At 45.4% G+C, this 20,316-nt stretch overlaps 1 pseudogene, besides 1 other annotated feature; it reads left to right on the top strand.

Moving 5' to 3' along the window:
* On the top strand, positions 14,355 to 15,332 carry EIF1P2 (eukaryotic translation initiation factor 1 pseudogene 2; annotated as a pseudogene).
* Positions 19,524 to 20,103: an enhancer, noted in NCBI's record as "OCT4-NANOG hESC enhancer chr1:39419004-39419583 (GRCh37/hg19 assembly coordinates)". NCBI's record gives its function as "activates a minimal SCP1, AML or CMV promoter by ChIP-STARR-seq in naive H9 embryonic stem cells {active_cell/tissue: H9 hESC(naive)}" and the evidence as "EXISTENCE:reporter gene assay evidence [ECO:0000049][PMID:30033119]".

Here is a 20,316-nt window from a genome sequence, read left to right as displayed (position 1 = left end):
GTGTGAGCCACCGCGCCCAGCCTGGGTCTCTGGATTTTATAGGCACAGGATGGGGGTGTGGCAGGCCAGGGTGGTCTTGGGAAATGCAACATTTGGGCGCAAAAGTAGGAGTGCCTGCCCTCACCTAGGTCTGTGGGGGTGGAGCCCTAGCCAGGGACCACACCCTCCCTCATTTCTGTATCATTTAAAGGGACCACGCTCTTCCCTTCCCAGCATTAACATATCACAAACACAGACCATACATGGTACCATTCACAGTGGAGAGAAATGTAAAAAATGTAAAGATGCAGTATTATATCATAACTGCATAAAATTAATGGTAGTAATACTGCACTATGGTAATAATTTCATAGCGACCTTCTGTTGCTATTGTGGTGAACTTGTGTTGCAAGTATCCATTTAAAATGCTGTGTGATACTAATCATCTCTGCATGAGCAGTTCATCTCTTCAGTAAATGGCATTATCACAGTAAAAAGTGATCTCTCTTGTGGTGGCTCATGCCTGTAATTCCAGCACTTTGGGAGGCTGAGGTGGGAGGATCGCTTGAGGCCAGGAGTTGGAGACCAGTGTGGGCAACATAGTGAGACCCCGTCTCTCTCTCTATTAAAAAAATAGTTTAAAAAATGTGATGTCTTTTTTGTTTTTATTTATTTTATTGTTTTGAGATGGAGTTTCACTCCTGTTGCCCAGGCTGGAGTGCAATGGCATGATCTCGGCTCACTGCAACCTCCGCCTCCTGGGTTCAAGCAATCTCCTGCCTCAGCCTCCCGAGTAGGTAGGATTACAGGCATGCACCACCACGCCCAGCTAATTTTGTATTTTTAGTAGAGACAGGGTTTCTCCACGTTGGTCAGGCTGGTCTCAAACTCCCAACCTCAGGTGAGTCGCCTGCCTCGGTCTCCCAAAGTGCTGGGCTTACAGGTGCGATCCACCTCACTGGCCTCTTTTTTTTTTTTTTTTAACTGAACCAGAATACATAGTTCTCATGTATTTTTAATGGTGTTAACGTGAAAGTGTAACTTGAATAACACCATGAGACCCATATTAAGTGTGACTTGTAATGCTGGAAGTGCTCCCAGGAAGCAGAGAAAAGTCATGACATTACAAGAAAAAATTGAATTGCTTGATATGTACCACAGATTGAGGTACCGACCTCAATGTACCAACCACACCTGCAAATGTGGTTGGTAACCACCTCAAGATAAATGAATCCAGTGTGAGGATGATTGTTAAAAAAAAAAAAAGGAAAAGGAAATTTGGGAAACTATTGCTGCCACTCTGCCAGCAAGTGCAAAACCTTATACTTTTCTTTCTTTTTCTTTTTCTTTTTCTTTTTTTTAGACGGAGTCTCGCTCTGTCACCCAGGCTGGAGTGCAGTGGTGTGGTCTCGGCTCACTGCAAGCTCCACCTCCCGGGTTCATGCCATTCTTCTGCCTCAGCCTCCCGAGTAGCTGGGACTACAGGCGCCCGCCACCATGCCCAGCTAATTTTTTGTATTTGAGTAGAGACGGGGCTTCACCGTGTTAGCCAGGATGGTCTCGATCTCCTGACCTCATGATCTGCCCGCCTCGGCCTCCTAAAGTGCTGGGATTACAGGCATGAGCCACCGCGCCCGGCCTCCTTTTTCTTTTCTTTTCTTTTCTTTTTTTTTTTTTTTTGAGACAGAGTCTCGCTCTGTTGCCCAGGCTGGAGAGCAGTGGCACCATCTCAGTTCACTGCATCCTCTGCCACCCAGCTTCAAGCGATTCTCCTGCCTCAGCCTTCCCAGTAGCTGGGACTACAGGCACGTGACACCACGCCCAGCTAATTTTTGTATTTTTAGTAGAGACTGCATTTCACTATGCTGGCCAGGCTGGTCTCAAACTCCTGACTTTAGGTGATCTGCCCGCCTCAGCCTCCCAAAGTGCTGAGATTATAGGCGTGAGCCACCACGCCCAGCCCCTTATACTTTTTGTGAGATATCTTTTTTAAAAAATTTATTTTAAAAATTTTATAGAGATGGCCGGGAGTGGTGGCTCATGCCTGTAATCCTAGCACTTTGGGAGGCTGAGGCGGGTGGATCAAGAGGTCAGGAGCTCAAGACCATCCTGGCTAACACAGTGAAACTCCGTCTCTACTAAAAACACAAAAAAATTAGCAGGGCGTGGTGGCATGCGCCTGTAGTCCCAGCTGCTGAGGAGGCTGAGGCAGGAGAATGGCGTGAACCTGGGAGGTGGAGCTTGCAGTGAGCCGAGATTGCGCCACTGCACTCCAGCCTGGGTGACAGAGCAAGACTCTGTCACACACACACACACACACACACAAAAAATTTATAGAGACAAAGTCTCCCTGTGTTGCCTAGGCTGATCTTGAACTCCTGTGCTCAAGCGATCCTTCCACCTCAGCCTCCCAAAATGTTGGGATTACAGGCATGAGCCACTGTGCCTGTCTGATTTTTGTTTAATTTTTTTTATCTTTGAAATACCTTTTCATCTCGAACTGAAAATGCAGCTTTTGGGCCGGACACAGTGGCTCACGCCTGTAATCCCAGCACTTTGGGAGGCTGAGGCGGGCCGATCACCTGAGGTCAGGAGTTCGAGACCAGCCTAACCAACATGGTGAAACCCCGACTGTACTAAATAATAATAAAAGAAAATTAGCTGGGCATGATGGCACATGCCTGTAATCCCAACTACTTGGGAGGCCGAGGCAGGAGAATCGCTTGAACCTGGGAGGCGGAGGTTGCAGTCAGCCAAGATTGCGCCATTACAATACAGCCTGGGCAACAAGAGCGAAACTCAAAAAAACTCAAAAAAAAAAAAAAAAAAAAAAGAAAGAGAAAAAGAAAAGACAAAGAAAAAAGAAAATGCAGCTTTCATATGGGTGCAGGATTTCTATATCAAAGTCCTACTGGCTAGGCACAGTGGCTCATGCCACACACACACACACACACACACAAAGAAAGGAAAAAAAGAAAAAGAAAAAGAAAGAAAAGTGTAATCCTAACACTTTAGGAGGCCAAGGCAGGAGGATTACTTGAGGCCAGGAGTTCAAGACCAGCCTGAGCAACATAGCAAGACCCTTTCTCTAGAATTAAAACAATATAAAAAATTGAAAGAGAAAAAGAAAGGCATACCTATAGACTAATGTGATTCTAGAAAAAGCAAAGTTATTATATGACAATTTAAAGCAAAAGGAAGGTGAAGGATCTACCACTGGAGAATTTAATGCCAACCAAAAATGGTTTGGCAATTTTAGAAAGAGTTTTGGCTTAACAAATGGCTGGGCGCAGTGGCTCATGCCTGTAATCCCAACACTTTGGGAGGCCGAAGTGGGCGGATCACCTGAGGTCAGGAGTTCAAGACCAGCCTGACCAACATGGTGAAACCCCCTCTCTACTGAAAATACAAAAGAATTAGGCAGGCATGGTAACAGGCACCTGTAATCCCAGCTACTCGGGAGGCTGAGGCAGAAGAATTGCTTGAACCCAGGAGGCGGAGGTTTCAGTGAGCCAAAATCACGCCATTTTACTTCAGCCTGGGTAACAGAGCAAGATTCCGTCTCAAAAAAAAAATCAAGATAACATGAGAAGCAACTTCTGCCAATGAAGAACCAGTAGATGTGTTTCCAGATGCCATTACTAAAATCACTGGCCAAGTACACTGGCTCAGGTCTGTAATCTCAGCACTTTGCGAGGCCAAGGTGGGAGTATCACTTGAGCCCAAGAGCTTGAGGGCAGCCTGAGCAATATAATGAGACCCTGTATCTACGAAAAAAAATTAAAAAATTAACAGGGTGTGGTGGCACACACATGTAGTCCCAGCTAGTCAAGAGGCTGAAGCGGGAGGATATCGTGAGCCCAGGAGTTTGAGGCTGCAGTGAGCTATGATTGCACCACTGCACTCCAGCCTGGGTGACAGCAAGACCCTGTCTCTCTCTCAAAGAAAAAAAAAAAATAATTGAGCAGAAAAGACATCTGCCTGAACAGGTTTTGAATACAGATGAAAGTGCCCTATTCTGGGAAAAAAAAATGCTACAAAGTACATTTATTAGTAAGTAAGAGAAGTGAGTAGCAGGATTTAAGGCAGGAAGAGATAGGCTAACTCTACTGTTTTGTGCAAACACTTCTGGGTTTATGATCAGGACCGCCCTTATCTATAAAGCTGCTAATCCCCACGCCTTGAAGGGAAAAAGTAAACACCAGCTGCCGGTCTTTTGGTTACACAACAAGAACCCTTTTTCTAGATTGATTCCATTGATGCTTTGCTGTGAAGTCAGGAAGTAATTTGCCAGTAAGGTACTGCCTTTTAAAATTCTTTTCATATTGGACAATGCTCCTGGCCACCCAGACCCCATGAGTTCAACACCAAAGGGGTCCAGGGGTTCTACTTGCCCTCAAGCATAATGTCGTAATTCAGCTTTTAGATAAGAGGTCATAAGGACCCTGAAGGGTCATTACAAGCAGTACTCTATGGAAAGTATTGTCAATGCCGTGGAAGAGAACACGGCTAGAGAGAACATCATGAAAGTCTGGAAGGATCCCACCATTGAAGATATCATCGTTATTACAGAAAAAAAACATGAAAGCCATCAGGCCTGAAACAATAAATTCCTGCTAGAAAAAAATTGTGTCAAGATGTTCTACATGACTTTACAGGATTTATAACAGAAACAATCAAGGAAATAATGAAAGAAATTGTGCATATGGCAAAAAAGGTGAAACATAAAGGATTCCAAGATATAGATCTTGGAGAAATTCAAAAGCTAATAGACACCATACCAGAGGAATTAACAGGAGATTTGATGGAGATGAGTGCTTCTGAACCAGTGCTAGACAATGAGAAAGAAATAGAAGGCCGGGCACGGTGGCTCACGCCTGTAACCCCAGCACTTTGGGAGGCCGAGGCAGGTGGATCACAAGTTCAGGAGTTGGAGACCAGCCTGGCCAATATGGTGAAACCCCAGCTCTACTAAAAAAAATAGAAAAATTATCTGGGTATGGTGGCAGGCACCTGTAATCCCAGCTACTCAGGAGGCTGAGGCAGGAGAATCGCTTGAACCTGGGAGGTGGAGGTTGCAGTGAGCCGAGCTGGCAGCACTGCACTCCAGCCTGGGCAACAGAGAGAGACTCCATAAAAAAAAAAACAAAAAAAAAAAAAAAAGAGAAGAAGATAGAAGAAGTAATTCCAGGGCCAGGCATGGTGGCTCATGCCTGTAATCTCACCACTTTGGGAGGCCGAGGTGGGCAGATCACCTGAGGTCAGGGGTTCGAGACCAGCCTGACCAACATGGTGAAACCTCATCTCTACTAAAAATACAAAATTAGCCGGGCGTGGTGGTGCATGCCTGTAATCCCAGCTACTCGGGAAGCTGAGGCAGGAGAATTGCTTGAACCCGGGAGGTGGAAGTTGCAATGAGCCAAGATAGCTCCATTGCACTCCAGCCTGGGCAACAAGAGTGAAACTGTCTCCAAAAAGAAAAAATGAAAAAAAGAAATAATACCAGAAAACAAGTTGACATTAGACAGTCTGGAAGAAGGGAGACTGCCTTTGGCTTCTGGGTTGGTTGGTTTGTGTGTGTGTGTGTGTTTTTTTTTTGTTTTTTTTTTTTTACTTTTAGAAACAGGGTCTTACTCTGTCATCATCCAGGCTGGAGTGCAGTGGCACAATCAGAGCTCACTGCAACCTCAAACTCCTAGCCTCCTGAAGGGATTCTCTGGCCCCAGCCTCCTGAATAGCTAGGACTTTTATGACATGGACTCTTCCATAATATGGTCACTGAAATGAAAGCAAATGGTGGAAAAAGGATTGGTACCATATAGAAAAAATGTCAGAGAAATGAAAAGCAAAAAAGTCAGACAGACATATATTAAAATGTATTTCCAGAAAGTTACAATGGGTGTGCTTGCATCTCCTGCCTCCCCTTCCACCTCCTCCATCTCTTCTCCCTCTGTCACCCTTGAACAGCAATACCAACTCCTCCTTTTCCTCTTCAGCCTTTCAACTTGAAAATGATGAAGATAAAAATCTTTATGATGGTCCACTTCCACTTAATATACAGTAAATGTATTTTTTCCTCATTATTTCCTTTTTTTTTTTTTTGAGACAGAGTTTCGCTCTTGTTGCCCAGGCTGGAGTGCAATGGCACGATCTTGGCTCACTGGAACCTCCATCTCCCAGGTCCAAGTGTTTCTCCTGCCTCAGCCTCCCAAGTAGCTGGGATTACAGGCGTGCACCACCACGCCAGGCTAATTTTTTGTCTTTTTAGTAGAGACAGGGTTTCACCATGTTGGTCAGGCTGGTTGTGAACCCCTGACCTCAGATGATCTGCCCACCTTGACCTCCCAAAGTAGTGGGCTTACAGGTGAGAGCCACTGCACCTGTCCATAATTTTCTTTTTCTTTCTTTCTTTTTTTTTTTTTTTTTTTTTGAGATGGTTTCGCTCTTGTTGCCCAGGCTGGAGTGCAATAGCATGATCTCAGCTCACCACAACCTCTGCCTCCCAGGTTCAAGCGATTCTCCTGCCTCAGCCTCCTGAGTGGCTGAGATTACAGGCATGTGCCACCACACCCGGCTAATTTTGTATTTTTAGTAGAGATGGGGTTTCTCCATGTTGGTCAGGCTGGTCTCAAACTCACTACCTCAGGTGATCCGCCCGCCTCGGCCTCCCAAAGTGCTGGGATTACAGGCCTGAGCCACTGAGCCTGGCCCATAATTTTCTTAATAACATTTTCTTTTCTCTAGCTTACTTTATTGTAAGAATACAGTATATAGGCCGGGTGTGGTGGCTCATGCCTGTAATCCCAGCACTTTGGGAGGCCGAGGCGGGCAGATCACAAGATCAGGAGTTTGAGGCCTGTCTGACCAACATGGTGAAATCCCATCTCTACTAAAAATACCAAAATTAGCTGGGCATAGTGGCACACGCCTGTAATCCCAGCTACTCAGGAGGCTGCGGCAGGAGAATCACTTAACCCGGGAGGCAGAGGTTGCAGTGAGCCAGAGATTGCACCATTGTACTCTAGCCTGGGCAACAAGAGCAAAACTCCATCTCAAAAAAAAAAAAAATACAGTATATAATACATATAACATACAAAATATGTATTAATCAGTGTTTAAGATATTGGTAAAGCTTCCATCAACTGTAGGCTAATAGCAGTTAAGGCTTTGGGCAGTCAGAAGTTATATGTGGATTTTCCACTGCATGGGGGATTGGCACTCCTGATGTTCTCGTTTAAGCATCAACTGTACTTGATGAAATAAAACCTTTTAAATAAATTTGTAAACAAACAACATCTCTGAGGTAAAAATGCAATAGAGGCCAGGTGCAGTGGCTCACACCTATAATCCCAGCACTTTGGGAGGCTGAGGTGGGCGGATCACGAGGTCAGGAGATCGAGACCATCCTGGCCAACGTGGTGAAACCCCGTCTCTACTAAAAATACAAAAATTAGCTGGGTGCAGCGGCGCAAGCCTATAATCCCAGCTACTCAGGAGGCTGAGGCATGAGAATCGCTCGAACCCAGGAGGCAGAGGTTGAAGTGAGCCAAGATCGAGCCACTGCACTGCAGCCTGGTGACAGAGCAAGACTCCATCTCAAAAAAATAAATAAATAAATAAAAATAAAAGAAAAAAATATGCAATAGAGACAACAGACTGTTAACATTTATCACAGAAGGAATTCCTACAAACTGACAAGAAGGGGACTAAATTCAAGTTAAAGTAACAATGAAACATCGCTTTTACTTATCAGCCTGTGAAAGTTTAAAAGTTCAGATAACATTTATTACTGGTGAAATTGCACAAAAAGAGATCTTATTATATATTGCTGTAAACTGTTACAGCCTTTTGGGAGTACACTCCAGCATCAGTTATTAAAAATGAAAATATATTGTTTCATCTACAAATCCCACTTCAGGGCAGGTATCCTATAAAAGAAAAGTGCTGGAATATATCTATAAGCATGTTTATTAGCTATCATTCGCAGTAGCTGAACACTGAGATTAAAGAGAATTTCATTATTCAAGTAGTGATTTCATGAATTATGGTATATTTTATGCAGCTATTAACAAGAATGGATTAAAGTCATGAATATTTTTTTTTTTTGAGGCGGAGTCTCGTTCTGTTGCCCAGGCTGGAGTACAGTGGCATGATCTCGGCTCACTGCAAGCTCCAGCTCCCGGGTTCACGCCATTCTCCTGCCTCAGCCTCCTGAGTAGCTGGGACTACAGGAGCCCGCCACCATGCCCGGCTAATTTTTTGTATTTTTAGTAGAGATGGGGTTTCACCGTGTTAGCCAGGATGGTCTTGATCTCCTGACCTCGTGATCCTCCCGCCTCGGCCTCCCAAAGTGCTGGGATTACAGGCTTGAGTCACCGCGCCCGGCGAGTCATGCAGATTTGCATGGTAGAATTTGAAAGAGAAAACTAAGGAATGGGGAGTTTCTGTAATTCATCCAAGACTATACAGTAGTAAGGAATGGGGTGAGGATTAAAAAAGTCCAAGTTTGGGCCGGGCACTGTGGCTCACGCCTGTAATCCCAGCACTTTGGGAGACCGAGGCAGACGGATCACCTGGGGTCAGGAGTTCGAGACCAGCCTGACCGACATGGTGAAACTCCGTCTCTACTAAAAATAAAAAATTAGCCGGGTGTGGTGGCACATGCCTGTAGTCCCAGGTACTCGGGAGGCTGAAGCAGGAGAATCGCTTGAACCTAGGAGGTGGAGGCAGGTTGCAGTGAGCCGAGATTGCGCCATTGCACTCCAGCTTAGGCGACAGAGTGAGACTCTGTCTCAAAAAAAAAAAAAAAGTCCAACTTTGGAGTCCATGAACTTAGCCAATATACTGTGTTACTTTTGAGGGAGCGTGAATAGAGAGTTGGCAGAGGATGACAAATTAAAGGTAGAAAAAGAGAGGTATAACTGAATGCCATGAGTGTCAAAGGATCACAGAGCAAAGGCAGAACAACGAGGTAGTAGCAACTGTTCCCCCTGCCAGCCACCTTTTCCTGACAAACCACAGTTGTACCCACTAAGACAGGACAAGACAGTAGAGACCTCCCTTCCTAGCTCTCCACATGGTATGGGCATGGTGGTGGCTTTTCTTAGGCCACCAGAGGTCACTCCATCTTCCTCTGATACAGGTTACAGAATCTGAGTGTTGACAACAGGTACCACAGTGCCTTGGGTCTTCTTGCCATCACTCCAGAGCTGTTGCTCAGCTTCGTCTCTGCTGGTGTGGATCTGCCAGCCACTGCTGCTGGCTGTCGCTGGTGCAGCCACTGCCAGTCCCAGAGATGAGAGACAGGAAGCCTTTCTTCTCTCTGCCAAATAGCACAATGATACAGTTAAAACACAGACATGGGATCAGGCAGATGCAGGTTCAAATCTCAGCTCTGTTATGCCCAGCATTGTGTAACCCTAATCTATTCACAACCTCTCTAAGCCTCAGTTTCCTCACCTGTAAAATGAACCTGCATCACAGGTTAATTGTCAGAATTAACCAAGATACTGCATTTCAACTGCTTAGCATAACTCTTCTTATGAATAAAGTCAGAATGTTTCCCCCAGTGCTGGTGCTTGTATTCAGTTAGCTTTCCTTTACCTCTTTTTTTTTTTTTGAGATGGAGTCTCACTCATTCTGTCATCCAGGCTGGAGTGCAATGGTGCGATCTTGACTCACTGCAACCTCTGCCTCCCAGGTTTAAGCCATTCTCCTGCCTTAGCCTCCCGAGTAGCTGGGATTACAGGCACGTGCCACCATGCCTGGCTAATTTTTGTATTTTTAGTAGAGACAGGGTTTTGCCATGTTGGCCAAGCTGGTCTTGAACTCCTGACCTCAGGTGATCCACCTGCCTTGGCCTCCCAAAGTGCTGGAATTACAGGTGTGAGCCACCTCACCTGGCCTGTTTCCTTTGCTGTGCAGCTCAAAGTCTTTCTCTCCCCATTATTTACTATAACATTTGCTCTCCATTTTCGTTTTTTTTTTTTGAGACGTTTTTTGAGTCTTTTTTTTTGAGACGTTTTTTGAGTCTCGCTCTGTCACCCAGGATGGAGTGCAGTGAGTGGCGCGATCTTGGCTCACTGCAACCTCCACCTCCCAGGTTCAAGCAATTCTCCTGCCTCAGCCTCCCAAGTACCTGGGATTATAGGAGCGCACCACCACGCTCGGCTAATTTTTGTATTTTTAGTAGACACAGGGTTTCACCATGTTGGCCAGGCTCTTCATGAACTCCTGATCTCAAGGGATCCACCCGCCTCGGCCCCGCAAAGTGCTGGGATCACAGGTGTGCGCCACCATGCCTGGCCTGCTCCTCATTTTTCACTCTAGCAAAGAAAGAGGTTGGGCAAGGAGCCAACTGTTTTGGTTGCATATCCTCTAAAACAATTCTGAAAAATTGTGTACTCCCTTGCATATTTTTAAGTTGACATTTAAATTTTTCAACCTTAAGATTAAATATTACAAAGAATAGAATTTCCAGCATATTGTAAACATCAACATTTTAAAATAAGTAAGTATTACATAACTCTTTTGAATTCATTAAATGGAATCTAAACAGTATAAGGTGGTCTAGAATGAGCGCTCTGACCAACAAGGACACCATATCAGAAAGTGCTTGAGAGGCTGGGTGTGGTGGCTCACGCCTGCAATCCCAGCACTTTGGGAGACCAAGGTGGGTGGGTCGCTTGGGCCCAGGAGTTCAAGACCAGCCTGGGCAACATGGCTCCACCCGAGAACCCAGGAGGCAGAGGTTGCAGTGAGTCGTGATTGCGACACTGCACTCCAGCCTGGGTGACAGAGTGAGACCTCATTTCAAAAAACAAAAGGAAGTGCTTGACCAAACTAAACATACCCTTTTTTTAACGTATTTGACTGTCAATGAAATAGCAGTAGAGACACAGAAAGAAAAGGTAGTAAGCAGAAGCCATGAGATAGTTGCATCTAGACAAAAGAAGAGATCAAGAGGAATTTAGAAGGAAAATAGAGAGAGAAGCTACAAGTAGATGCAAGAGGTAAAAGTAGGGGCAAGGACAGAGATGAACTATGTCAGGACACTGAAGCAGTGGTTTTGGCAGGGAGTAATGGATAAGCACCTATGGGTTGGGGTGGGGAATGATGATGGCAATTGCTATTCAGACACTAGAGCTGTTACTGTATCCTGATTGGCAAGGATCCACCATTGAGTTCCACACAACTTAGTTGTTCAGCCAGAGATGGTAGTCACGTTGCGTCTTCCTCAATGCCTCTGTGGTCACATTGCCTCTTCCTCCTCTGTCTGTATCAAATCTCCCTCTGCCTCCCTCATAAAGATACTGTGATTGTATTTAAGACTCACTCGGATAATTCAGGATAAACACTCCATCTCAAGATCCTTAATTAAATTACATCTTTTGCCACAGAAGTTAATATTCTTATACTAACTGGTGTGCTACAATAAAGTTCTAGCAGTAACCACTTGAAGTTAGCATAGAACCCACAAATTACAGGTCATGGTCCCCAGTAAGACTGCCCTCATTTCGGATGCCAGCCACACATTAGGCATCCCTAGGCCACCCACATTTCTGACCAACTGGCTACAAATCTGGGGGTTCCCATATCCACTCAGGTTTGATAATTCACTAGAATGACTCACAGAACTCAGGAAAGTGATATACTTACAATCACAGTTTTATTATAAAGAATACAAGTCAGGACCAGCCAAATGAGGAGACAGGGTAAGGTCTGGGAGAGTCTCAAGAGCAGAACTTTGAGAATTGCCTTCTCCCTGTGGAATCAGGGCATATCAGCCTGGTGACACATTGATCTGTTTACCAGCCAGGAAATTCCACCAAACCTTATTGTCCAAAGCTTTTTTTTTTTTTTTTTTTTTGAGACAGAGTCTTGCTCTGTCACCAGGCTGGAGTGCAGTGGCGCAATCTTGGCTCACTGCAACCTCCACCTCCTGGGTTCAAGCGATTCCCCTGCCTCAGCCTCCTGAGTAGCTGGGACTACAGGCGCTTGCCACCACGCCCGGCTAATTTTTTTTTTTTTGTATTTTAGTAGAGATGGGGTTTTACCATGTTGGCCAAGATGGTCTCAATCTCCTGACCTTGTGATCCACCCCCTCGGCCTCCCAAAGTGCTGGAGTTACAGGCGTGAGCCACCATGCCTGGCCTGTCCAGCGTTTTTATTGGGACTTCATTATGGAAGCATGATTGATTGAATCATTGGCCATTGGCTGGGTATCAGTCACTGGTTGAACTCAATGTACTATACCCCCTTCCTTCCCCAGAAGTCAGTGGTGTGAAGTGGCATCTCATTGTGGTTTTGATTTGCATTTCTCTAATAACCAATGATGAATAATGTTGAACATCTTTTTATGTGCTTATTGGCCATTGGCATATTTTCTTTGTACAAATATCTGTTCAAATTCTTTGCCTTTTTTTTTTTTTTTTTTTTTGAGACAGAGTCTTGCTTTGTTGCCCAGGCTGGAGTGCAATGGTGCAATCTCGGCTCACTGCAACCTCTGCCTCCTGGGTTCAAGCGATTCTCCCACCTCAGCCTCCCGAATAGCTGGGATTACAGGTGCCAGGCACTAAGCCTGGCTAATTTTTGTATTTTTAGTAGAGATTTTTGTATTTCAGTAGAGGTCTTGCCATGTTGGTCAGGTTCATCTTGAACTCCTGACCTCAGGTGATCCCCCCAGCTTGGGCTCCCAAAGTGCTGGGATTACAGGTATAAGCCACCGCCTGGAACTTAGACTTCCTTTAAACTTAGTCTCTGGATGTGTTTTAAGTTTCCCAATCAGATACAGGCCTAAGGGGCTTGATCTGGAACTGAGTTAAAGTGGGGGATAAAATGAAGTTGCATGGGAGGATTCAGTAAGTCACAGCTCTGGTACCAAAAGCTCTGGCAGTGGCTTCTTGTTGCCCAGATCCTGGCTAAGTTAATGTGTTCCTGGAGCCAACAGTTGGAACAATAGCTTACTAATTTCCCAGTTTTCCGATGTGGCAGAGGCAACAGTTTTCTTGGTGAGAACTTATGCCTATCTTAAACCAACCTTCATTCAATAACCCCGACTAAGTATAGATTATTAAAATGTGTAAAACTTGTTTGCAGTAGGCTTTGTGAGATACACTGGCACTAATCCAAAGTTAATGTCCCTTACAGGGGTCGTCTTGACGGTTATGGGTGTAGGGACACGACATGTATGCTGGGTCCATAGCACTCTAACCCTCTTTCTTTCTTTCTTTCTTTTTTTTTTTTTTTGAGATGGAGTCTCGCTCTGTCACCCAGGCTGGAGTGCGGTGTGGCGCGATCTCGGCTCACTGCAAGCTCCGCCTCCCGGGTTCACGCCATTCTCCTGCCTCAGCCTCCGGAGTAGCTGGGACTTCAGGAGCCCGCCACCACGCCTGGCTAATTTTTTTGTATTTTCAGTAGAGACGGGGTTTCACTGTGTTAGCCAGGATGGTCTCGATCTCCTGACCTCGTGATCCACCCGCCTCGGCCTCCCAAAGTGTTGGGATTACAGGCGTGAGCCACGGCGCCCGGCCACCCTCTTTCGTTCATTTAGGGAATTTCATCAGGCGATGAGTCAGAGATACAGGGCTTACCATCCCCTACAGAAGCTGAAAGTACTAGGTACACTTTTTCCACCTGTCTTGCAGCTAGAGCACTGGCATGTGGACTGGGCTCTGCCAGTCAGCCACATCTGCCTCAAAGCTTGCTGGAAAAGTTGGCTTCAGGAGGATCGCTTCCTGGAAAAGCAGTGACTGTGGGGTAGTGATCAGTCCAGTATCTGATGGTCACGGTATCATTGGCACAAGCGGCATATCTGGAGCTCTTCAATCATGGCAGTGGTGTCTTGTCATCAGACCAGTTCTGCAATGTGGTTTTGGCTCTTTCTCATTATGTAGCTCAGAATGTGGTTCTTCAGCCCACCCATTTATTTTATAAGCTACATAATATCCTTTTTTTGTTGTTTTTTTTGAGATAGGGTCTTGCTCTGATGTTAGGATTATACTGCATACAACTTCAAGCACATTCACATCGAAAATTACCTCTAGTTACTGCATCCAGCTCTGAGTACAGAATCTCTAGGGGATGTCCAATATTTCCAATCAGCTCCAGATCTTAAAACCCATGGCTAAAATGATATATTTACTAGCAACATACTCTTAGTCCATTTTGTGTTGCTATAACAGAACACCACTGACTGGGTAGTTTCAAAGAAAAGAAATGTATTTTTCACAGTTCTGGAGGCAGATAAGTCCAATATCAAGGTGCTGGTGTGTGTTGAAGGCCTTCTTGCTGAGTCATTCATGGTGGAATGTGGAAGGGCAAGAGAGTCTGGGACAATAAGAAAATTGAACTCAAAACCTCAAGTCTTTTCATGACCCCAGTCCGTGAGCTACCGCTGAGGACTCAGCAACTTTCCCTTTGAGCCCCCTTGCTTCCTCATGCTCCATACCCCACCTTTGCCCACTTCCCCCCACTTCTTCCACTGCTACCTCTGTAGGCAGTTTCTGCTGAGGAAAAGGAATTGTATAGTATGTTTGCTATTCTGAACTTCTACTCTTTTGACCTCTTTGCTGGATGCAACTAAGGGCGATAACCTGCTTCCTGCTGACACTGAGGATTATATCCATATAAGAATTTAATAAAGAAATGGCAGGAAGACCATTACTACTGTCCAAGGAATTGCTGATGACTACCATAAAAAGAAACTATGACAGGCACAGTGGCTCATGCCTGTAATCCCAGCACTTTGGGAGGCCTAGGTGGGCAGATCACATGAGGTCAGGAGTTCAAGACCAGCCTGGCCAACATGCTGAAACCCCATCTTTACTAAAAATACAAAAACTGGCTGGTTGTGGTGGTTCATGCCTGTAGTCCTAGCTACTTGGGAGGCTGAGGCAGGAGAATCGCTTGAACCTGGGAGACGGAAGTTGCAGTGAGCTGAGATATCATGTCACTGCACTCCAGCCTGGGTGACAGAGCGAGACTCTGTCTCAAAAAAAAAAAAAAAAAAAAAAGAAACTAGTGAAGGCATTCAAGAAGAAATTTGCCTGGTACTGCAATAGAGCATCCAGAATATGGAGAACTAATTAAGCTACAGACTGACCCGTGCAAGAACCTATGCCAGTTCCTTGCAGAGATCGCACTGGCCAAGGACAATCAGCTGAAGGTTCATGGGTTCTAAGTGTCTGTGGCTCACTGAAGCTTAAGTGAGGATTTTCTTGCAATGAGTAGAATTTCCCTTCTGTCTTTGTCACAGGTTTAAAAACCTCACAATGTGTATGAAGTAACTATTTGGGGTCTGCTCTTAGCTTGGACTAGTGTAACTCCTTCATGTAATAAACTGAAAAGAGCCACACAGACAAAAAAAAAGTCCCTTCATAACTGGCATTAATCCATTCATGAGGGTGGAGCGTTCATGACATAAACATCTTCTATTAGGTCCCATTTTCCAAAACTATTGCACTAGAGATTAAGTTTTCTTTTCTTTCTTTTTTTTTTTTTTTCTGAGACGGAGTCTCACTCTGTCGCCCAGGCTGGAGTGCAGTGGCGCAATCTTGGCTCACTGTAAGCTCCACCTCCCGGGTTCATGCCATTCTCCTGCCTCAGCCTCCCGAATAGCTGGGACTACAGGAGCCCACCACCACACCCGGCTAATTTTTTGTATTTTTAGTAGAGACGGGGTTTCACCGTGTTAGCCAGGATGGTCTCAATCTCCTGACCTTGTGATCTGCCTGCGTCGGCCTCACAAAGTGCTGGGATTACAGGCATGAGCCACCGCACCCAGGCCTGAGATTAAGTTTTCAACACATGTTCTTTGGGGAACATATTTAAACAATAGCACGTATCATATGTACAACCGTAGAGGAAGAAGAGGATAATCTTTTCATGGGCTTAATATGTCCCTCCAAAATTTGTGTGTTGAAATCCTAACCCTTAGTGTCTCAGAATGTGACTACATTTGAACGTATGGCATTTAAGGGGGTAATTAAGGCAAAGTGAGTTCATTAGGGTGGGCCATAGCTCAATATGATTGGTGTCTTTTTTTTTTCTTTTTTTTTTTTTCTGAGACTGAGTCTAGCTTTGTCACCCAGGCTGGAGTGCAGTGGCATGATATTTTGGCTCACTGAAACCTCTGCCTCCTGGGATCAAATGATTCTCCTGCCTCAGCCTCCCGAGTAGCTGGGATTACAGGCACCTGCCACCACACCCAGCTAATTTTTGTATTTTTAGTAGAGACTGGGTTTCACTCTGCTGGTCAGGCTGGTCTCAAACCCCTGACTTCAGGTGATCCGCCTGCCTCGGCCTCCCAAAGTGCTGGGATTACAAGCATGAGCCAATGTGCACAGACTTGACTGGTGTCTTTATAAGAAGAGAACCAGGCCAGGCTCAGTGGCTGAAGCTTGTAATTCCAGCACTTTGGGAGGCTGAGGCAGGCATATCACCTGAGGTCAGGAGTTTGAGACCAGCCTGCTCAACATGGCGAAACCCCATCTCTACTAAAAATACAAAAGTTAGATGGGCCTGGTGGCGGGTGCCTGTAATTCCAGCTATTCAGGAGGCTGAGGCACAAGAATCTCTTGAACCCGTGAGGTGGAGGTTGCAGGGAGCTGAGATTGCGCCATTGCACTCCACCTCTGGGCGACAGAGCAAGACTCCATTTTGGGGAAAAAAAAAAAAAAAGCAAGCTGTACCTAGCCTGGGTGACATGGCGAAATCCAGTCTCTAAAAAAAAAATACAAAAATTGGCTGGGCGTGGTGGCTCACGTCTGTAATCCCGGCACTTTGGGAGGCTGAGGCTGGCGGATCACAAGGTCAGGAGATCGAGACCATCCTTGCTAACACTGTGAAAACTCGTCTCTACTAAAAATACAAAAAAAAAAAAAAAAAAAAAAAAATTAGCCGGGCGTGGTGGCGGGTGCCTGTAGTCCCAGTTACTCAGGAGGCTGAGGAAGGAGAACGGCATGAACTTGGGAGGTGGAGCTTGCAGTGAGCCAAGATCAGTGCCACTGCACTCCAGCCTGGGCGACAGAGCGAGACTCCGTCACACACACACACACAAAAAGCCCCGTGGTGGCACGCACCTGTAGTCCCAGCTACTCGTGAGGCTATGCGGGAAGATACCTGGAGCCCAGGAGGTGGAGGTTGCAGTGAGCTGAGATCATGCTACTGCACTCCAGCGTGGGTGACAGAGAGGAGAGGCAGAATCTGGTACCAGATTACCTGAGTTCAAAGCCAAACTGTGCACCCATTAGCTAGAATTACTTAATCTCTCTATATGTTAGGATTCATAAATTAATATACATGTAAAACACTTGGTACAGCCACTGCCACAAAGTATATACTGTGTGAGTCCTTGCTGTTGTGTTTGTTTTTTTTTTTTTAGACAGAGTCTGGCGCTGTTGCCCAGGCTGGAGTGCAATGGCACGATCTCAGCTCACTGCAATATCTACCTATTGGGTTCAAGCGATTCTCCTGCCTCAGCCTTCCGAGTAGCTGGGATTACATTATGCCCGGCTAATTTTTGTATTTTTGTAGAGACAGGGTTTCACCATGTTGGCCAGGCTGGTCTCGAACTCCTGACCTCAGGTGATCTGCCTGCCTCAGCCTCCCAAAATATTGGGATTATGTGCGTGAGCCACCGCGCCTGGCCTAGTGCTTGCTATTGTTAAGGAGGAACCTAAATGACCTTGAGGTGGAAAAAATATCAAACAGGTCTATGGTTTGGAAAAAAAGCTTCTCTTTTTGAAGGTGAGATAGATTAAATTTCAAGCTCATTCAGGTGAGAGAATATCTAGGGAATTAAAGTGAATAGGTGGGCAAGAATGAGAGTACATCAGGCAGAATAGGAATGTTCTGCAGCTCAATGTTCCTTAGTTCTTTAATTAAAATGTTTAAACAAATGAACAATAATTATCAATTTCTTCTTCAGAGAATATGGAATTCACAGTTAACAAAAATCATTGCAATTTAGCTGGCTGTGGGGACACATGCTTGTAGTCACAGGTAATCAGGAGGATGAGCAGGAGGATCCCTTGAGTCCAGGAATTCGAGTCCAGCCTAGGCAACATAGTGAGACCCTGTCTTAAGCCGGGTGCGGTGGCTCACGCCTGTAATCCCAGCACTTTGGGAGGCAGAGGTGGGTGGATCACGAGGTCAGGAGATCAAGACCATCCTGGCTAACACGGTGAAATCCCGTCTCTACTAAAAAAAAAATACAAAAAAAATTAGCCGGGAGCGGTGGCGCTACTTGAAAGGCTGAGGCAGGAGAATGGCGTCAACGCGGGAGGCGGAGCTTGCAGTGAGCCAGGATTGCGCCACTGCACTCCAGCCTGGGTGACAGAGCGAGACTCCGTCTCAAAAAAAAAAAAAAACAAAAAAACAAAAAACAACCCTGTCTTTACAGTAAATGAAAAATAAAACAAGACCAGGCATGGTGGCTCATGCCTGTAATCCTAGCACTTGGGGAGGCCAAGGCAGGAGGATTGCTTGAGCCCAGGAGTTCTAGACCAGGGTAATACAGGGAGGCCCTGTCTCTACAAAAAAAAAAAAAAAAAAAAAAAAAAAAAAAATTAGCCAGGTGTGTGGTGGAGTGCACATGAGGTTCCAGCTACCCAGGAGGCTGAGGTGGGAGGATCACTTTGAACCTGGGAGGTCAAGGCTGCAGTGAGCCGTGATTGTACCACTGCACTCCAGCCTGGGAGGCAGAGCAAGACTTTACCTCAAAAAATAAATAAAATAAAATAATTGCAATTGAACTTGACATATAAAAACACACAAGCCCAGAGTCTCATGCAAAGAAAAATTATTAGATTATTAGGCTTAATTTATTTGAGGACACTAAGATGCTGACAAGTTTTATTTATTTATTTATTATTATTATTTTTTATACAGACAGGTTCTCGCTATGTTGCCCAGACTGGTCTTGAACTAGGCTCAGGCAGTTCTCCTGCCTCAGCCTCCCAAAGTGCTGGGATTACTGGAACTTCTTTTGTGTTCTATTTTGCATGTAACTTGCATGCAATGACTCTAGTAGAGTTTTTTTGTTTTGTTTTGTTTTTGAGACGGAGTTTCACTCTTGTTGCCCAGGCTGGAGTGCAATGGTGCGATCTCAGCTCACTGCAACCTCCGCCTCTCGGGTTCAAGCGATTCTTCTGCCTCAGCCTCCCGAGTAGCTGGGATTACAGGCATGTGCCACCATGCCTGGCTAATTTTGTATTTTTAGTAGAGACGGGGTTTCTCCATGTTGGTCAGGCTGGTCTCGAACTCTCCACCTAAGGTGATCCCCCCAAAGTGCTGGGATTAGAGGCGTGAGCCACCACTACCGGCCAGTGGAGTTTTTTTTTTTTTTTTTTTTTTGCTTCTTCAAACACAAGCTTGCCCAAATATAGAATAGAAATCATTTAATTTTTGAACAATCTGTTGATAGAAGATAAGGGCAGTGTCTCCTTTCAAGATATAATCAAGGCAGAGTTTCAGGGTAGGTGTGGTGGCTTATACCTGTAATCCTAGCACTTTGGGAAGATTGCTTGAGGCCAGGAGTTCGAGACCAGCCCGGCCAACAGAGCAAGACTCCTCTTATTAAATAAAAATGTTATTAACAACAACAAAAAAAGACAGAGCTTCAACAAATTCTTAGAGGCCACGTGCCATGGCTTATGCCTGTAATCTCAGCACTTTGGGAGATGTAACTGCCCAAGGGGTTCACCTTGCCTGCTGCCTAGACAGAGCCAACTCATTAAGACAGGGGTATTGCCACAGAGAAAGAGTAGTTCACGCAGAGCCGGCTGTGAGGGAGACTGGAGTTTTATTATTATTCAAATCAATCTCCCCTAGCACTCAGGGAGCAGAGTTTTCAAGGATATCTTGGCAGGTAGGGGGAAGCCAGTGAGCTAGGAGTGCTAATTGGTCAGAGATGAAATCACAGGGAGTCGAAGCTCTTTTCTTGTGCTGAGTCAGTTCCTGGGTGGGGGCCACAAGATCAGATGAGCCAGTTTATTGAGCTGGGTGGTGCCAGCTGATCCATCAATTGTGGGGTCTGCAAAATATCTCAAGCACTGACCTTAGGAGCAGTTTAGGGAAGGTCAGAATCTTGTAGCTTCCAGCTGCATGACTCCTAAACTATCATTTCTAATCTTGTGGCTAATATTAATCCTACAAAGGCAATGTAGTGCCCAGGCAAGAAGGAGGTCTGCTTCGGGAAAGGGCTGTTACCACCTTTGTTTAAACTATAAACTAAGTTTATCTCAAAGTTAGTTCAGCCTATGCCCAGGAATGAACAAGGACAGCTTGGAGGTTAGAAGTAAGATGGAATCAGTTAAGTTAGATCTCTTTCACTAT

Source organism: Homo sapiens, chromosome 1 (genome assembly GCF_000001405.40).
Source record: "Homo sapiens chromosome 1, GRCh38.p14 Primary Assembly".
Taxonomy (NCBI): Eukaryota; Metazoa; Chordata; class Mammalia; order Primates; family Hominidae; genus Homo; species Homo sapiens.
Note: the sequence above shows the minus strand (reverse complement) of the source record. Positions and strands in the feature narration are given on the sequence as shown.